The sequence below is a fragment of the Homo sapiens genome, chromosome 2 (assembly GCF_000001405.40).
Source record: "Homo sapiens chromosome 2, GRCh38.p14 Primary Assembly".
Lineage (NCBI taxonomy): Eukaryota > Metazoa > Chordata > Mammalia > Primates > Hominidae > Homo > Homo sapiens.
Window position 1 is genome coordinate 146,861,830 of NC_000002.12, and position 21,021 is coordinate 146,882,850.

A 21,021-nucleotide genomic window follows, 5' to 3' on the forward strand; every position below is an offset into this window, starting at 1 on the left:
AACTAAAATTCGAGACAACAATTTGAGAGTGATTAATTGCAGTAAAAATTTAAGTTCTATTGAATTTTTTAGACTAAGTGGGGATAAACTGGTCAAATGTAGACATTATTAAGACAATTGGGCATGTTAAAATTTTAAGGCCAACTACTAATATAATGAAAATTGAATAAGCTCCAAACAAGAAAACTGTGGAAAAAATGAAATAAATTAATCATTAACAATTCAATAGAAGGAAAGAGGTGGAAAAAACAGGCAAGAAAAACATACTGTATGAAGAAAGCCCAATACTGAAGAAGTAAGGCCAAGTATAACAAAAACCATAGCAAATTTTATTATATTCAAACCATTAATTGAAGGACAGAGTCTCAAATTAAAAACAATAGAAGACCAATTGGAATTTGGCTATAAAATCAGTAAGAATAGACTAGGCCAAGCTGTGATAACAAATTATAATCTCAGTGGTTTCAAGAAACCTATAGTTGATTTTCATTCCCATGCTCATGAATCCATGCTCATAAAAAAAGCACCCTCAATTAATAAATATTTTTTCTTATATAACTTGTTTTAGATTATGGAGAAAATATAAAATTACAACTCATTTTATAATACTACAAACATTTTTGTATTAAAACTACACAATGACAGAATCAGAAAGCAAAATTATTGGGTAATTAAACTTATAAGACCACATCCAAAAGCACTAATTAAATGAATCAAAGGAATCAAATCATGAAACATCTTTTATGATTGAGTATAGTCAGTAATAAAGGATGTTTTAATTTTAGAAAATCTATTAATGTAATCTTCTGCTTTAATGATCATATAATTATCTCCACAGAGAAAAGCATTTTATAAAATTCAACTCTTAATTTTGATTCAAAATTGATAGCAAACTAGTAATACTAGTGAGTTTCCCTAGATATATGACCAAAACTTCTAGTAAATAGTATACTGTGTTAAAATTTTAGATCTATTCCTTTTGAATCAGGAACAGAGAAAGCATGCTTATTGCCACTTCTATTAAACACTGTATTGACTACATTAAGTAACCAAGTTAAAAAAGATTGAGAAATTTAAAAAATGAAAACAGTAAGGGAAAATTGCAACTATTAGCAGATAATATGAAGGTGTACTTAGAAAATTCAAAAGAATCTCCAAACAAAATTTAGATCTAATGAGAGAATTCAGTGAGTTTCCTGGGAACAAGATACATATAAACACATGAAAACTTTTCTTATTCATCAGGAAATATATTGTTAACAGGTAACTGTTCATTAGAATATCAAAAAACGTATAATTACCTAAGAGTAGATTAAACAAAGTAAGTTTTTGGAGAAAAATAATAATTTTTAAATTAAAAGACAAACAAGATCTGGATAAACAAAATAAGTTTCTGGAGAAAAATACTATGTTCATGAATGGGAGGAGTCAGTATTGTAAATCTGGTCATTCTCCCTAAATGAATTTAAATTTAGTTAAATACCAATTGATCAGACACAGAAACTTTTTTGAAGAATTTGAAAAGTTGATTCTAAAATTAATGTGAAGAATAATGGGCAAGTAGAAATCAAGATAAGTTTAAAGAATAATAATAAAAGGAAAACACAATGGATATCATATTAAGCATCTGTATATAGATAATCAAAATATATGTGTATATTTTAAATTAAATATAAATATGTCACATTTTAGATTTAATTAAATATGTTTGTTTACTCTTTAGTTTATTAGATATGTAGTTTATATATAAACAATAAATTTAATTGAATTTTTTAGTATATATATTTCTATATATATATACTAAATATATATAGTTTATATATATAAACAGTAAATTTAATTGTTTTTTTAGTAACTAAATGGTTTAAAAATGGCACTGAGAAGCCATTGAATAATTAAGACTTGGCATTGGGAAAAAAAATACAAAAAGGCAAGTTAGCAACCACCCACCCCACAACCATAACCGTGAATATATGACAGCAATAGCATTACAGATCCATTGGAAACCAAGTGCTGTTTGCATTAGGCTGGATTCAATTAGGAACCAGAAAATACACGAAAATTGAAACCTGGGAAATTTGATATACCTATTGTTTTGATAGAAGAATGACTATAAAAATGTAAAACGATCCCTACAGTGTACCCTGGAGCTGAGGAAGGGTATCCAAGGAAGGGCAAACTTGGAATGTGAGTTCTTCTCCCAAAAGGCTGGAGCTGAAAGGTGTGGCTGCAGCCTCCCCATGTCAAAGGAGCCTCTGGGTCACCTGGGCCAGAACAGGCCTGGCATATGCATTACCTCCATCTAAATGGTTCTGGAAAGATGGCCACTGGGCCCAAGCCAGGGCTGAGCAGTTGCTGAGAGCCTAAGCACTCTGGGTGACCCACATTACTGAACAACCACACAGCAGGAGCAAGAAGTGGCAGATGGAAACACACCAGAACCCAGAAGAGAAGTCCCCATCTTACTGGAATGTTCCTCAGACACCCTCTCCTGACAAAGCTTAACATAGTGCCCATTAGAAAGAAATTCAACACAATCCCCATCAAAATACTGCCATCATTCTTCACAGAATTAGAAACAACAATTCTAAAATTCATATGGAACCAAAAAAGAGCCCGCATAGCCAAAGCAAGACTAAGCAAAAAGGACAAATTTGGAGGCTTCAGACTACCTGATTTCAAACTATACTACAAAGCCATAGTCACCAAAACAGCATGGTACTGACTGGAATAGAAATAGGCATATAGACCAATGGAACAGAATAGAGAATCCAGAAATAAACCCAAATACTTACAGCCAACTGATCTTTAACAAAGCAAACAAAAACAGAAAGTGGGAAAAGGACATCCTTTTCAACAAACAGTCTTGGGATAATTGGCTAGCCACATCTAAGAGAATGAAACTGGATCCTCATCTCTCACGTTATATAAAAATCAACTCAAGAAGGATTAAGGACTTAAACCTAAGACCTGAAACTATAAAAATTCTAGAAGATAACATTGGAAAAACTCTTCTAGAAATTGGCTTTGGCAAAGATTTCATGACCAAGAACCCAAAAACAAATGCAATAAAAACAAAGATAAATGGCTGGGACCTAATTAAACTAAAGAGCTTTTGCAAAATGAACAGTCAGCAGAGTAAACAGACAATCCACAGCACAGAGTAGGAGAAAATCTTCACAATCTATGCATCTGACAAAGGACTAATATCCAGAATCTACAATGAACTCAAACAAATCAGTAAGAAAAAAAAATCCCATCAAAAAGTGGGCTAAGGACATGAATAGATAATTCTCAAAAGAAGATATACAAATGGCCAACAAACATATGAAGAAATGCTCAACTCACTAATTATCAGGTAAAAGCAAATCAAAACCACAATGCGATACCACCTTACTCCTACAAGAATGGCCATAATCAAAAAAATTAAAAAAAAACAGTAGATATTGGCATGGATGAGGTGAACAGGGAACACCACTACATTGCTGGTGGACATGTAAACTAGTATAGCCACTATGGGGAACAGTGTGGAGATTCCTTAAAGAACTAGAAGTAGAACTACCATTTGATCCAGCAATGCCACTACTGGGTATCTACCGAGAGGAAAAGAAGTCATTATTTAAAAAAGATACTTGCACACGCATGTTTATAGTGGCACAATTCACCATAGCAAAATTGTGGAACCAACCCAAATGCCCATCAATCAATGAGTGGATAAAGAAACTGTGGTGTGTGTGTGTGTGTGTGTGTGTGTGTGTCTGTGTCTGTGTGTGTCTGTGTGTGTATACATATCGTGTGTGTGTGTATATATATGTGTGTATGTGTATACATATATGATGGAATACTATGCAGCCATAAAAAGGAATGAATTAACAGCATTTGCAGTTACCTGGATGAGATTGGAGATTATTATTCCAAGTGAAGAAACTCAGGAATGGAAAACCAAACATCATATGCTCTCACTGATATGATATGTGGGAGCTAAGCTATGAGGATGCAAAGGTATAAGAATGATACAATGGACTTTTGGGACTTGGGGGAAGAGTGGGAGGGGCCAAGGGATAAAAGACTACAATATGGTACAGCCTATACTGCTAGGGTGATGGGTGCACCAAAATCTCACAAATCACCACTAAAGAATTACTCATGTAACTAAGTACTACCTATACCTCAATAACTTATGGAAAAAATAAATAATAAATAAATTTTAAGAAAAAGAAAAAATGTTGAAGATTCTAGTGCATTATAACAGAGGAGATTTTCAAGTATGATTTATGGGCTGAGTGGCAACAAACTGATCACTGATAAATATTGAATTTTCACAATTTGAAATAAGTTACATATATGCATAATATTAAATATTTGAAAACTAAATTCAATATTCAGAAATTGACTACTCAGGTAGAACAATAGGACATGATAAACCTTTTAATTAATTCTAGATGGTTTAAACACTTAAATTTTTGTGAAAAACTCTACAATTTTAGAAGAAACTACAAACTTGTTATTAAATCTAGGGAAATATTTTCAAAGACCTATACATAACACAAAATTAAGATTTTTGATAAATTTGGATATATTTAGCTAAAACCAGCCAACCATTGTTTCAGAGTCGGTGTCCCCAGGGATTCAACTGCAATACCCACCTGCAAATTAGCAACATTATACACACACAAACCCACAAATACTATTTGTGAATGAAAACCCTGTAGCAACACAAAGCCTGTTAGGAAAAAATTCTAATGCTTACTTTGAAAAAAATCTGTAAGTTAATAAAAGGACCCATTTAGTATACAAAGCATGGAAAGAAGGCTAAGCTATGGCTGGATAATTGTGAATGGCTACTATATACGTTAATATTGTTCCTAACCTAATGTTTGCGTACTTACATATACTCATTAATAGATTTTGGCAAGATAAAAGGGAAATTAAAAACACTATTGGCCTAGGGAATAGAAGAATAAATGTAAGCACATTAAACAAGACTGCTTTGCCATATTAGTTAAGAATCTGATAGTTAAATTAACTACTTTTTATTGAGAACTTTAATTGGTTAATTAATTTTGAATAGTATAGAAGGCATGTTTATTGTATTTTTTTGTTTGTTTATCCCTAAGTTCCTTATGAGAGAATATTAAAGGACTATACCTAGAAATTATTTCAAAACATTTAATTCATCCTCCTGTTCAAATGTAACTAAATCATCTTTTCAGATGAGAAAAAAAAAGGTCTATAAAGGACTTCAATGCCATTGGCTTTCATATGACATCTAGTTCCACCTTTTCCAAGATGCATCAGGAAAAGGTGATGCAAATATAAATTGATAGAATCAATGGCTTAATTTCTCTTTATGGAAATCTTCCTTGAATTTTGGAAGGTAATTAAGAATAATCTGAAAGGTTTTTTATTTTTGCTTTCATCTGGGTACGCTGTGGGTACTAGGACTGGCTGGTGGTAGGAGCATTCTATAGAGGTTTAGAGTTGTAATAGTCATAGAACAGCCTAGGAGTGGGGTCTTGTGCCTCTGTTCAGAATGCACAGGAGCCTGGAGTCCTTCCTAATCAAATCCACATTCCATCTCTCTGACTGATTGGAGATGCATGTTGAACATCACAAAGGCAAAAGGCGAATGAGTAAATAAGTGGCCTTTGCTGATTAGAATTAGTGTGCTTCATTGTTACGGTTCTTGATTATAGGTCAGTGGTAGAAAAAACACAAGTATCTTTATCTCTTACTGCAGCCAGCTTGATGGCACAGCGGGGAGTGAGGAAGACTCGGTGGACAAATCTGACTGGAAAACAAGTAGGCGTTGCAGATGGTGAGTTCAGCACTGCCTCTGCTGTAGTGAGCTACGCCCAACCTAGAAATGCATCTTGCTGGCAATGTCTCTCCAAGAGCCTCCCCTTTTGCTGTCAGGAGCACAAGGGGCATGCAGAGAAGTTGAGAGCTGAGCATTGCATGCTACTGAGCAGCTGCACTCAGTGGTGCAGAGGAGGGACAGGAGGCACCCATAAGGGAGGAAATGAATAGGGCTGTTTTACTTGCTAAAAAGACTCACCTTTTGTCTCCTCCTGAGCTGACATCCTTTTCTTGCTACTCCACCATTATATTCTCTTTAAACAGTCATTTTTATTACAGTTAATATTAGAGTTGTACTTGCATTTATGAGGTCTAAAGAGCTCTTGGGAAATAAAACGGGACTATCCAGTCTGGAAGAACTTCATATTATCCACTCATTTCTTCTATTCTTACTTGTATTCCCATTACACATGTGATTCCAACTCATAGCTTAAATCAGTTAAGAATCTGTAATGGTTAATTTTATGTGTTAGTTTGGCTGGAGACATTTCTCAGATATTTGGTCAAACATTCTTCTAGATGTTTGTGTGAGGGTGTTTTTTTGGATGAGATTAACATTTAACTCTGTGGCCTTTGGAGCAGACTGCCCTCCATAAAGTAAATGGGCCTCTTCCAATCAGTTGGAGGCCTTATGAGAATGCAGACTTCCCTGTCAGCAGACTACTTTTAAACTCAAAAGTCAACTGCTCCCTGGATCTCCAGGCTGCCAGTCTACTCTGAAGATTTGGAATTTACCAGACCTCCAGGCACTGAGACAATTCCTTAAGACAAATCTCTCTCTCTGTCACACATACACCCACACAGAATACAAAGTCAGGCTCTTTGATTCATTACCTTGAAATCAAATGTTTTCTATCACCAACATCCTCTTGTATAGGATATATATGTGCATATGGTTCTACATAGAAATCCTGATTCTGTGGCCCAGCATTCCTGCATGATGCCAGTAGATAGTAGCTGAACAGGTACAAAGATGAGCATCAGTTGTTATCTTTAAAATAATTATGTTGGTGACTTTTAAAAGTCTTTTTCTTTCAGTTAAAAATGTAGTTCAAAAGGGATCTAGTAAAACATCTCTCTGCATTAAACTCAGCTTCGTTTACTTATTTAAGCTCCTAATCCTTTCAAGTTTTTAAAAATTATCTGGTTATATTTAATATTGAGGAACTTTTTTATTAACACCAATATCTGTAAATTTCTCTAAGTCAACATTTCCTCTGCATTTGGGCAGTTTCTATTTATCAATGTGATGGGTGGTCCATTTTCAAATCAGCTCGTTTCTCCACAGTTGTCACAGTATCATAAAATTAATGTCATATATTATATTCTAAAGTAACCTGGCTGATTAATTCAAGGTGATTCCAGGCTCCCAAAATAATTAATCAACACAGGGATTTATGCCCATGTCCTTCTACATGAATTGATGGCTGCGCAATAAAGTAGTTCTAGTAATAATCATTACTAAGAAATTATGTACAATGATAAGTAACAAAATCTCATATTTCCCCAATTTTCAGTTCCAAGAAATCTTTGACTTCTTTTATTTTATTTAAATGCCAGCCTGTAGTAATATAAGTGGTAGTCGTGAGAATTACTGCTAATTCTCAAGACTATTCTGCTCAAAAAAAATCTCCACTGCCCCAACCAAAGAAATAAGAATCCTGCTCTCAGCCTTGGGCATTGTGATGGTAATTTTATGTATCAACATGCCTCAGTTCTATGCTGCTCAGTTATTTGGTTAAACACTAGTCTAGATATTGCAGTGAAGGTATTTGTGGATGTAAGTTAACATTTACAGTCAGTTAACTTTAAGTAAGGCAAATTATCCTCCATAATTTGGGTGGGCCTCATCCAATCAGTTGAAGGACATAAGAGAAAAGACTGAGGTTTCTCAAAGAAGGATTTCTGCCACAAGACTGCAACATGGGAATCCTACCTGAATTTCAAGTCTGCTGGCCTGCCCTGCTGATTTTGGATTCAAGATTGCAACCTCACTCTTACTTGAATTTTCAGCCTGCTAGCCTGGCCAAAGAATTTCAGATTTGTCAGCCTCCACAACTCCTTAGAATAAGCCAATTCCTTAAAATAAGTCTCTCTCTAAATCTCATATATATATATCTGTGTATGTATGTGTGTGTATATATGTATCCCTAATATATATCACCTATTGATTCTTTTTCTCTGGTATGTACAATATAATGTACATTATAAAATCTAATATCCAACCTTTACATTAGCTTTTAATTTGGAAGACCCATGTAAGCATTTATTTTCTTTTTCATGTTTTGGCCAATAGCTTTGGAGTGTATACTCTTTTTACTTACTCTCGTAACTGGCACAGGGCTGAAATATATTAAATATTTTTTGGTCTATTCTTTCAGCAATTAGTGACCTATTATTAGGAGATCCCACTATTTTTATTGATTTATTCCAAAAGAAGAGTGGTTCCAACTTATAGTTAGTTTAAACTGCCCTTTGAAGGTATCTGAAGGGCAATCACGAGGACTCATGATTATTCTGTAAGAAAAACAAGGTCTAAACATTAAAGATCCAGGAAGCATCTGTGTTTCAGACGTAGACTGTAAAAGAGCCTCATGCAAAACTGACAGTAATGAGTTTGAAGATAATTTCCTCACAACTCAACCTAAAATGTCTTTCCATCTATATTTATCTATTTCAAATAATTAAGACCTGAATTAATTATTGTCTTAGCTTGAGATGTTATAACAAAGCACCATAGACTGGGTAGCTAATAAAAAACAGAAATTTATTGTTCACGGTTCTAGAGGCTGAAAGTGCAAGACCAGAGCACCAGCATGGATGGGTTGCAGTGAGGGCTCTCTTTTGAGCTGCAGGTGGCTGTCTTCTCATTTATCTTCACATGGTGAGAAAAGGATGAGAGAGTTCTCTGTGAACCCCTTTATAAGGATGCTGAACCCATTCATAAGGGCTCTCCCCTCAGGACCTAATTACCTCTCAAAAACCCCACCTCTTAACACCATTATATTGAGGGTTAGGATTTCAACATATTAATTTGGGGGGCTACAAAAACATTCCATCCCCAACAGATGTTAAATTGAAACATTTTTAATTCTCACTCTATGTTCTGTGCTAGGCGACAGAATTCCCTCCCTAAAGACATTTACCTCCTAATCCCCAGAATGTATGAGTCGTTATTACTTTACATGGCAAAGAATTACTTTACAGATGTGGTTAAGAATGCTGAGATGAGTATCCTGGATTATATAGGCAGGCTCAGTGTAATCATACAGGTCCTTACAGGTGAAAGAGGGATGCAAGAGAGTTAGAGGCAAAGAAGATGTGCAGAAGTTGAGTGACATGGCTGTGAGCCAAGGATGGTCAGAAGCCTTTAGAACAGGGGTGTCCAATTTTTTGGCTTCCCTGGACCATATTAGAAGGATTGTCTGGGCCCGCACATAAAATATATTAACACTAATGATAGCTGAAGAGCTTTAAAAAAAATCGCAAAAAAAAAATCTCACAATGTTTTAAGTTTACACATTTGTGTTGGGCCGCATTAAAAGCCATCCTGCACCACGTGTGCCCTGCGGGTTGGACAAGCTTGCTCTAGAAGCTGGAAAAGGCAAGGACACAATCTCCCTAGACTTTCCAGAGGGAACATAGCTCTGCTGATATTTTTAGTCCTATAAGACTCCTAACTTGTAGAGCTCTTAAGATAATATGTTTGAAACCATTAAGTTTGTAGTCATTTGTTAAGTAGTAGGAAACTGATGTCCCTTCTTTTCCTAAACAGGCCAGAGATTCTATATCTGTCCAAAGCCTCTCACAAAGGGTGTCTACAACTCCAAATTTCTTCTTCTCCTTTTTTTTTTTTTTTTTTTTTTTTTTTTTGAGGTGGAGTCTCACTCTTGTTGCACAGGCTAGAGTACAATGGCATGATCTTGGCTCATTAAAACCTCTGTCTCCCAGGTTTAAGTGATTCTCCTGCCTCAGCCTCCTGAGTAGCTGGGATTACAGGTGCCCACCACCATGCTTGGCTAATTTTTGTATTTTTAGTGGAGACGGGGTTTCATCATGTTGGCCAGGCTGGTGTCGAACTCCTGACCTCAGGTGATCCACCTGCCTCGGCCTCCCAAAGTGCTTGGATTACAGGTGTGAGCCACGGCGCCCAACCTACAACTCCAAAATTCTGTAGTTATTTCTGGTTAATTTTATAAAAGATAACCTTACTGTACTTTAGCTGTTTTGCTGTAAGTTCCCATAGTAGTAATTTTGCAATGGAAGAACTAGTCCCCAACGTATTCACCACTTATTTGTTCGCTTATCTTTTCACAGTGGCATTTGAGAATGTAAATTATGTTTGTCTTTTTCACAGCTGTATCCTTAGCACAAGTTCAGTGCCTGACATACAGTAGGTATGCCCTATTCCAGCATTTTTTTTAAGTATTAAATCTCCTTGCTTCACTCTTAAGAACACAAACAAGAGAGATGGAACATAGATTTCCTTTTCAAGTTCATAATGACCCAAGAAAAGAAGGTCTAAGTAACAATCCTGTCACTGTTCCCAAGGGCCTTCTCTTATGTCAATAATTTTTGTTAACCTAACTCAGCAGTTATCCCTCTCATGCTATGAAACTGTCTCCTCATTGGTAAAATGAGGGCAAATGAGACAAGAGCAAAATTCTAGACTTCCTGAAAATTGGGCTATGAGATAAGGGAAGGAGTTTGTGAAAGTTTTCATTTAATTTAAAGAAACAAGAGAACATGGTAAGAATTGTACCTGGATGGTTATGCAGCAACAATACTTTTTCAACATGAAACTTAACACACTTTCCAGAAAACTGCAAGTACTATACAGGTGACCCTTGAACAACACAGGTTTGAACTGTATGGGTCCACTTACTGACATTTCATCTTCCTCAGTAGTCTGCAAGGTAGACAGAACTTGGAGCTATTCATCTATAGGTGCCTCAATTTGATTATCTAGATGAGGGTATAACAGCTACAAATTTCCTCTCATATACATTTCCACAGCCCTTATCAGCTAGTCATAGGACTGAGCCCAAATGGAAATCACATTCCAGGAATAGCCCCATATGGCTTATGTGCCAGATAGGCTTGAAATCATCAAGCCATACAAACAGGCAATACTGGCTCACACTAACATTTCCACAGTGTTACTTTTTCTAACTCTTCGTGGCATCAATGGTGTTATACGTGGGTATATTGATATAAACAAATTGTACACATAACATATTGAACTCTTAGTAGTATAGATGATATGACTTATAGAAAATGCTTCAGAACTTCCAGCTTATAGAACCTATATAAAAGCCCATTTTCTCCTTCATTGACACTTAATGCAGACAAAAAGAAGTTAACTGCTTCCCCACTTCTCCAAAATTGTTATGAAGGACATTGAGATACCATGTGTTTATTATTATGAATATATTTAGGTTTAAAAAATTCATGGAGCATCATGGGATTTTCAGCTTTAATCATGAGACTGGCTTTTGCCAGGACCTTACTGAAGAACCCAACAAAACTGCCCAAGCTGATGAAAAACAACTTCTCTGGCAACAAAGCTCTTAATCTTCCAAACCACAAGTTCATAACCAGAAAAATCACAACTTGATTCTATCATAACCAGAAAAATATTTACCCTCAAATTGCTTCAATACTCCGAATTCATCAACAAAGTGTCATGTCAAACGTCTAGTTTTGCTTCCTTTATTAAAGGTTTTCCTGATGTATGAAAAGTCATTTCAATTAAAATGGAAATGAATACCTAATATATATATATTAATTACTCTCTAAAGTCTCACTGCTTCTCCATATAAACTTTAAATTTTTTTTCATAAATTCATCATAAATTTTAAGTAATGGTTATAGAAAATGAGATATTCAACATGATGGGGAAGTAGCACTCTCCTCTATCTTTAACCCTATCAGTTTGAAATTATCAGAAATATTTATATTTATTATAGCTCTTTCTCTAAACTTAGCTTTTATTTTGCAGCAAATAAAGGCACAGTATCATTTTCCTCATACCTAATGTATATCTAGTCTATTCAGCCATAGTCTTTTATTTCATCCTTGCAATGACCGTTTCATTGGAACACCTGAGAAGAAAAGTGACTCACCTCCCAGTGAGATACTATGCCAAGGTTCAAACCACCATTAACACACTGTCCCCATGGCTTTGGAGAGAAAACTAGGTCACAGTGATAATGGAAAGGAAAGAAATCGAGTAGTCAAGTCTGACTTTTCTATCAGCCTCATAGGGCTCTGAGTCAAGGTTTATGCACCAGCACTAAACCTTCTGAGAAAGCAGCTACCCATTCTGAGATGGGACTGCACGTGTTAGATGGGGTCCTTGAATGAGCAGCCACTACTACAATGACAGTGTGCAGCCAGCATCTGGGACAGCTCAGATTCCTTGCTCCATCTGTACACTGAGTCAGACTCAGGTGAAGGAGACCTAAATGATAAAGAAAGTATTCAGGGATGACAGCCAAAGGGAGGGCCAGGTCTCCTGGGAAACTTGGGGTTTAGGCCTTATGAAGACAGGTTCTTATTAACAAGAAGTCATTCTAGTTTCCTTCCTGAAGGAGGAATGTAGATTCAGATACTGACAGATTTTAATTTTCTCAAGATTACTGAGTCTACAGAACCACTTTAATGTGGCTTTTTGCCACATTTATAGCACAGAACAGGTCGGCTGTCCTCTGTTCTCGGATTTCTTTTCCTACTTGGCAATTCCATTTCCTCCTGACTCAAATGTGCTTCCTCTCTTTGGGAAGGCACAGGATGCCACTGACTCAGCACCAGAAGAATGTGTGCTTTGGGTTGTTTCGCCAACCACGGGCATGAGCTGAGTGAAAGAAGGAAGTAAAGGAAGAGGTGGGGCACCCACTGCTGGCTCAGCTTCTACCTCCTTCACTTGCAAGCTGCCTAACCTTGGGCAAATCATGCTGGTGTCTTATACCCTGTGTTTGTAGAAAATGAGAGTGGGGGAGGTGACAACATCTCGCCTTTGAAGCAGAGGTGGTTAATACTATGGGCTTCTGGAAGTCCCTTCCAAGTTAAAGTCCAAAAGTATGAAAGTAGTAATATCTAATATAATTAACTGTCTATTGTGTTCCAAGGTCCTTGTTGATCACCTTACATAAAATATCTCGATTCCTCACAAGATCCTACATGGTGGGTATCACTGGCCACATTTTTCAGAGAAAAACTCTCAGAAGAAAGTTGAATAAATTACAGTGGTTGGGTAAAGCTTTCAGTTCTTGGTGTATATGACTCCCAAATTTGTTTTCTGTCCTTTGTGCAAGGCTGTTCTTAGGTCTATGATATATACTATATGTGATCAATGTTCCCTGTAATTCTTTCAGGTTGACAGTAGCCAGCCATGTTTCATGAACAACAGCCTTTGATGGCTGAGTATGCATGAGAGGAATTTCATGTTGCAATTAAAATTATAATAAGATTAATCAGACACATATTTAATGATATGTATAACAGCTATTGTGCTACACATCATTAGGCAAAAGTGGTAAGCCATTCAAATGAATGAAAATAATTATTTTTACACTGCTGAAGCATGCATGGCTGTAATCAGACAGGAATTGAGATGAGATGAAAAAACTGTTAGAATAAAAATATAAAAATAATTGTTCTATTTATTAAATGTACTGCTAATCTCCAAGCATTATGCTAGGTATTTTATATGTGTTATCTCATTTAATCCCCCTAACAACAATATGAGAAATATATATATATTTTTAACAGATGAGGAAACTGAGGCTCAGGGAAGTTGAGAAAATTTTTCAGGGTTGTTAATCTAGTAGAGATTGGGATGAAATGCCAATATAGGAAATGTCACATAACATCATTTCTCTTATGCACTGTGCCCCTCAGCCACCTCTAAATGGAAGAACCACTCACTCATTCTTCCCTCTCATTTCACCAGGTTTGCTTTTAATAGGATGCACTGCTTTACCTTCAACTAAATTGGTGTTAGAATGCCACTGTTCATTCTGCCTGTATTACTAGTTGTAATATGTAGGTGTTATGGACTGAATGTGTCCAGAAAATTCATATATAGAAGCCCTATCTCCCAACGTGATAGTATTTGGAAGTAGGGCTCTTGGGAGGTAATTGAGTTTAGATTAGGTCCTGAAAGTGGGACCCTCATGATGGGATTACTGCCACTATAAGGAAATGAAGAAACACAAGATCTTCACCCCAGCCCTGCAGCTGTCTATAAGCCAGGAAAAAGGCTCTCACCAGGAACCAGATACGCTGGTATCTTGAACTTGGGCTTCCAGTCTCCAGAACTGTGAGAAATAAATGTCTGTTGTTTAAACCACCCAGGATATGGTATTTTGCTATAGTGTCCTGAGCCGACCAAGACAATGAGTGACTTTCTAATCTCCTGTTCCATAAACAGAACTCCATTAATTTTTTACTAGGAGGGGAAAAAGCGGGGAGGAATGTATTAGTTAGGAAAGGCTAATTTATGCTTAGGATTTTGTAACACACGGATACAAAATTTCAGTGGCTTAGAGTTACAAATTATGTTCCATGTCTATCATTGAGAAATTGAGGTTGGGAAGGCCATCTCTCCCAGCGCTGGACAAATGCTGTTCCCAACGGTTCCCAAATGGAACAGTGCCGGTTATCTTAGCAGAGCAAAGAGAGGACTGCAAAACCTTTGCTCTCTCCTCAATGCTACATGCCAGAGAAAGTGAGGTTCAGGTCAGCCAGAAACCCATTTGGGATCAGCACCCCAGTAGTTCAGCAGACAAGAAGTTTTCTTATTGATTAAAATAGACATCTGGAAATGAATAAAAATTCCAAAGAGAAACTTCACTAGCTTTGCAATTTTTCTTTGAAATCTGCTCTGACTTTACAGGTCAATTCAGGTATCACTTAACATTGTCCATTCTCTCTCCTGTCTCCATCCTTTCTTCACCACCAATGTCTAGGACTCTGAGACTAAGCAGGGAAGAGTGTTGAGATACCCTGATAGGTACATTGTAGTGCTTTGCATGTCCTCATAGACACAAACAGCATTTGTTTACAAAGTGTATTGTTCCCTTAGTGGTGGGGAATATCTATAGATTTGTGGAAACTTCTTGTATCCTAGGATATGCCCAATCACAATGCTTGTCTTGGTAAGACAGAAAACTAAATGGTCTGAAGTAGGGATAAATATTGACTTGGTTAATCTGCTGCATGCATGCACTGATATGAAAAATAAGTACCAAGGGGTTCTGAATTTATTTATGTTTCTAGATAAATAGAATACATATATTGAACTTAATACCAAGAATAAGTAGCAGTGACTAACTTCCTTTCCTGTCAGTCAGTTAAGCAATATTATTGACAATGTATGTACTGAACATTTCACAGTACAGAGGGGGTGGGTCTGAGCCAGGGATCCAAAGGCCCAAGGCATCTACCTCCAATTAGGTGATGTGATATTTCTGGACCTCAATTTCTTAATGCAAACAGTAAGAATGAATGAGATATATCTCAGGTCCTCAGGAACCATAACACAGTATTATCTCTTCTCAGGCTTAAATTACATTGCAAAAGTTTTTGTTAGTTTTGGTAGGTGAAAGCTTCCAGGAAGAGGATGAAGAGGAGGAAGGAAGAAACACTTATGTTCCCAGTCTGATAAAGGATGTCAGGTTTGCGTGAGAAAAATAATAAAGATGGTTTTGGCTTGCAAAGATTCAATGGACTAGAATCCATGCAGTATAAAGGTGGCACTGCAGAGTTAAGATGCTTTAGATTTCCCTAGGGAGTTGGGTCAGATGGACTGTTTTGGCCTCAACTTCTTTACTCCTTCCTTTGATGCATTTCTTTTGTCTAGGGAGGATGATTTAAAGAGTAGTTACTGATAGAGACAGAGTCACTAAAAGCTACTGGGAACAGGCTCTCCCAGCATTAGTAAGGTTTTACAATTCTAGTGCTGAAAAGGAATCTTTTCTATTTGAGCCTAGGTCCATGACACCAGCTGACATATCTCTCTTTGCCTTTCTCCTGCCTGCTTTATTCTAAGTTCACTCCTTTTCTTGTACCTCTGCCTCCGAATTTCCAGTACAAAGCTCTTTCTGATAATTATGTTTGCACTCCTCTGTGCCACTACTGTGACCCAACAATGAAGTGTGACCATTCTGACTTCCAGATTGCCAGCTCAAAATATCAATTCTGTTGATCTGTTTTTTCTTCTACGCTCAGAAGACCTGGAACCATGGTAGGAAGTGGGACAGGGAGCATTTGGACAAGCTGTTCAAGAACTGATCATGCTCATGTGTATGGGAAAACAGATGGAGGAAGAGAAATTCCTGAAGAGCACAAGACTGGTGGGGCAAGGAACAAGCCTACTGAGATGAGTTGCAGATTTGAAGATGGGAGAAATGGTTTCGTTGTCTACCATGTAAAAACTCATTTATGCAAGATGCTTGATATCTGAATTTCAATTTCTTCATTATCAAAATGAATATTAAAAATACTCTACTTCTTAGAGTTGTCAAAAAGATACGGAGATGTGAATAATTTGAAATTATTATCTATATGTAAAGTATTACTATATTTACTATCCTTATCAAATATTTATCCTACTGTCTAACACATTAAATGGACAAAATAGAACATTTGAAGGGTGTAGATCTTGAAAGTTTAATTTTACATAAAAAAGGCCAGAAACCTTTCCTAAGAAAAATGTACATATTGCAAAATGTAGCATATGATTTCAATGGGGCCCACAAACCTTTGAAGGCTAGCTGTGGATCTTCAGAGTGAAACAAAACAAAGTAAAATGCCCTAAGATATGAAAAGCTTACCTTTAAGTAGAAATATTCTGGGTACTTTTCTTCTTTTAAATTATCAACTTTATTGTATGATTTGTTCTATAGATTATCTATTTATTGTTCATTTCTAAACCTTAGGATTCCGAAATCTTCAGCAAAATAAATTACTCAACAGGTAACTAATAGTGTGGCTGAAGGAGGGACAGGAGTTGTTTTGATTATTTCATTTGTTTCTATGAGACCTGTTTGGAAAGCTAGGCTGGCAGAAGCACAGCATTTTTACAGATACCCCATCAACTAAAAATGCATATGTATAGAAAAAGAGAGATCACTGATATTATATATATAATACACATGCATGCATGCATATATACACATAATGTATACATATGAACATATATGCATGTGTATACATATAGATATATGAAATATAGATCTATATCTACATTATATATTATGTATTAGGAAATACAGATGTATAAAATGAAAGTATTTTAGTAAATGGCTGAATCTAGAATTCCCAAGTAAAGCTGTAATTGTCACTTCCCTCTTTATTCTGTGCAGATACTAAGGAACCATTATCAAAGGGCCAGTAATCCTTTGGCCATTTTTTTATTTTTCATTTTCTAAGGATAGCTTGTTTTGTAAGTTTCCTCTATGTTATTGGCATTATGTTACTGGAAAGCTTTTAATTCAATAAATATTTGGCAAGTATATATTGTGCCAAGAATAGAGATATTAATTTTTAGAAAGACTCAAGCATGAGACATAAACGTTTGAAAGAATGAGTCGTACTTTGGAAAGTACAATATAACAAGAGCAGTGCCTACTTTGTTTGTGCAAAAAAGGAGGTAATTAACATTACCTGAGAGGGATCAAGAGATGGCTTTTCAGAAGGTGACCTGCAACATCGATATCTGTCCTCCAGAGAGAAGAAAGAAGGTTTTCTTCAGAAGGGAAGATCATGTGCTAAGCAACAGGAATTTGGAGGCACTAGGTAAAAGAGAAAGTTCAAGAAAACTTAGGGTTTTTCATTCTACAAGAAGATAATTGGACTGCTACCTTATTTCCATCTCTTGCATGTGTAGCCACAGAAGGAGCAGTTGCATTTTCTTTTAGCACCTCATCTTGACTCTAATTCTACTCTAAATGTATCTGCTATAGATTAGCCTATTTTTGTTTCCATATGTACCTTTACGATAAGACTGATAATAAATATCCAGTGATAATCTCTCCATTTATTCAATAAATATTTATTGAACTACATTGTATTAGTTTCTATATATAAAGGTGATTATTTCAAAGACTTCTTTAATTAATTAATTAATTTAGAGACAATGTGTCACTCTGTTGTCCAGGCTGGAGTGCAGTGGCACGACCTTGGCTCACTGCAACCTGTGCCTCCCGGGTTCAAGCAATTCACCTGTCTCAGCCTCCTGAGTAGCTGGGACTACAGGTGCGTACCACCATGCCTGGCTAATGGTTTGTATTTTTAGTAGAGATGGGGTTTCACCATGTTAGACAAGATGATCTCAATCTCCTGACCTCATAATCTGCCTGCCTCGGCCTCCTAAAGTGCTGGATTACAGGCATGAGTCACCGCGTCTGGCCTTTAAATTTCTTACATTTACTACACAGCCCTTCTACATTCTTTTGGGCGGGGGGGGGGGGGGGGGGGACTAGCTCCAAAGAGATTTCTCTATTGCTCTAATAAATCCATTCTTCTAGCTAAAATTGGTTATCTTCTGTTGCTCAGTTTCTCCAACTCTGCCTCAGTGCTCCTGTCAAGAACGCCTCTGCCATCTCATCTACAATAATCTATCACTTAACAATGGGGATATGTTCTGAGGCATATTGTTAAGCAACTTCATCACTACATGAACATCACTTATACAAACCTAGATGGTGTAGTCTACTACACACCTAGGCTATGTGATGCAGCATATTGTTTCTAAGCTACAAACCTGTACAACATGTTGCTGTACTGAATACTGCAGGCAATTTTAACACAATAAGTATTTGTGTATCTCAACACAGAAAAAGCACAGTAGAAACACAGTATTAGAATCCGACAGACCACTGTCATATATGTGGTCTGTTGTTCACTGAAACATCATTATGAGACACATGACTGTAAAAGCACCAAGCCTTGTCTTTACCAAGTCTCACGTTTTCTTTCTCCAAGGAGATTTTTCTAGAACAACCCAACCCAATTGTTTTCTTTCCCTTTCAAATCTACTGCCTTGAATTTTACTGTTTAAATACTTTCTCCTTATCTTTCTTCCTAGATATTAATCATCTTTAGGATTAGAACCTAAAGCGTAAGTCTAATTGTGCCCAGAATTGCTTCCTTCCAGTGGGTTCCTGGTCTCGTTGACTTCAAGAATGAAGCTGCAGACCCTCACAGTGAGTGTTAACAGCTCTTAAAGATGGTGTATCCTGAGTTTGTTCCTTCCAGGTGTTCAGATGTGCCTGGAGTTTCTTCCTTCTGGTGGGTTCGTGTTCTTGCTTACTTCAGGAGTGAAGCCACAGACCCCCGTGGTGAGTGTTACAGCTCATAAAGGTAGTGAGGACACAAACAGTGAGCAGCAGCAAGATTTATTGTTAAGGGCGAAAGAAAAAAGCTTCCACAACTTGGAAAGGGACCAGAGCGGTTTGCTGCTGCTGGCTCACGTGGCCAGCTTTTATTCCCTTATTTGGCCCCACCCACGTCCTGCTGATTGGTCCATTTTACAGAGTGCTGATTGGTCCATTTTACAGAGTGCTGACTGGTGCATTTACAAACCTTTAGCTAGACACAGAGTGCTGATTGGTGCGTTTTTACAGAGTGCTGATTGGTGCACTTACAAACCTTTAGCTAGACACAGAGTGCTGATTGGTCCATTTTTTACAGAGTCCTGATTGGTGCGTTTGCAAACCTTTAGCTAGACACAGAATGCTGATGTGGTACGCTTTTACAGAGCACTGATTGGTGTGTTTACAATCCTTTAGCTAGACACACAGTGCTGACTGGTGCGTTTTTACAGAGTGCTGATTGGTGTATTTACAAACCTTTAGCTAGACACTGAGCACTGATTAGTGCGTTTTTATAGAGTGCTGATTGGTGCATTTACAATCCTTTAGCTAGACCCAGAGTGCTGATTGGTGCATTTACAGTCCTCTAGCTAGACAGAAAAGTTCTCCAAGCCCCCACCCGACCCAGGAAGTCCAGCTGGCTTCACCTCTCATAATCATTTTACACTTCTCACTATCCATTATAGTAGCCAACACAGTGCTTTGCACATCCGATTTCATATTTAATTAATGGTTGGTTTGAAATTTCGGTTGTATCTCCACATTCATGAAAACAGAAGGGTTTTTATAGCTTGGATAAACATTGAAATGCCCTCAGATTACATGAAAAGAATATGAAAGGTCAGTACTTAGGCGTAAAACAACTTGACCGTTCTTAAAACCACTTCTTTTCAATTATAAACATTTCAAAATGAGATCCAAGGTTTTGAGCATGAAACCATCTGAATCTTATTTCTTCTGCATAATTTTAGCTTTGCAGACCATATTTTCAATTTCTAGACTTTAGCACATTATTAGTAACGTCAAGGCTATATCTCTAGAATTACACTGCTCTCCTCTGCCCTTCTTGGCAGTGTTGTTTGAGCTATAGGAAAATCAGCAAAGAAGTTCTTACTGTGATGTTTTTCTATGTACTGTGGGAAGAACTGGCACCCAAGGCTATGTCTGCATTATTTATACCACTTTGATAGATTAAATCTTAACTGTACCATAGAGCTTTTAAAGACATGTCTGTAAACGTTTAAGGATTACACAGGTGTTCATCCTGACTGCAAACAAAGACTCCTTTTTGTGGCTGGAAAACAAAATTAAAATGTAACAGTGTCCTACAAGCCATGGTTTCTGCTTAAAACAGATCCTTGACTGGACACGTCAGATAGATTTGTTACTCTTGACACATTTTTGGAGTTCAACAAAGTAGCCAACATCAATAGAAACATTTCTGTGATCCTATACTTCTAAAGTTAATCTCTCTGACGGTGACATTTCATAAAGGAATGGTAATGTTGGTATTCTACCAATGTGACAATATCCTAAAGGACTTTTATCCTGAAAGGACTTTTTATCCCCAAGCTCTAAAGTATTCTTAAAGTTATTTCATCCTTTTCTCTGTGCTGTTACCAACTCTATGGTGAAATTTTGATGTGTTACCAAAAGACAAGAGCCTTATTTTTGGAAAGTATTGTTCACAGGGCCCCTGAGGATTTTTTCTTTTTATTTTTATAACTGGAAGATCTGATTTTATTCTCTGAAACTCAGGACTTGCTAGAGTTCCTTTTCAAGA

General features: G+C 36.7%; 1 long non-coding RNA gene across 5 annotated transcripts in view; it reads left to right on the forward strand.

Annotated features, from left to right (window-relative positions):
• The window catches only part of LINC01911 (long intergenic non-protein coding RNA 1911), a 40,530-nt gene extending 24,139 nt beyond the window's left edge, over nucleotides 1–16,391 (forward strand). For all 5 annotated transcript variants that reach the window (NR_187165.1, NR_187164.1, NR_187166.1 and 2 more), the window contains 2 exons: nucleotides 5,741–5,818; nucleotides 16,093–16,391. This is a non-coding gene — a long non-coding RNA (long intergenic non-protein coding RNA 1911). The remainder of the gene's footprint in view (nucleotides 1–5,740; nucleotides 5,819–16,092) is intronic.
• The last annotated feature ends 4,630 nt before the right edge of the window (nucleotides 16,392–21,021 follow it).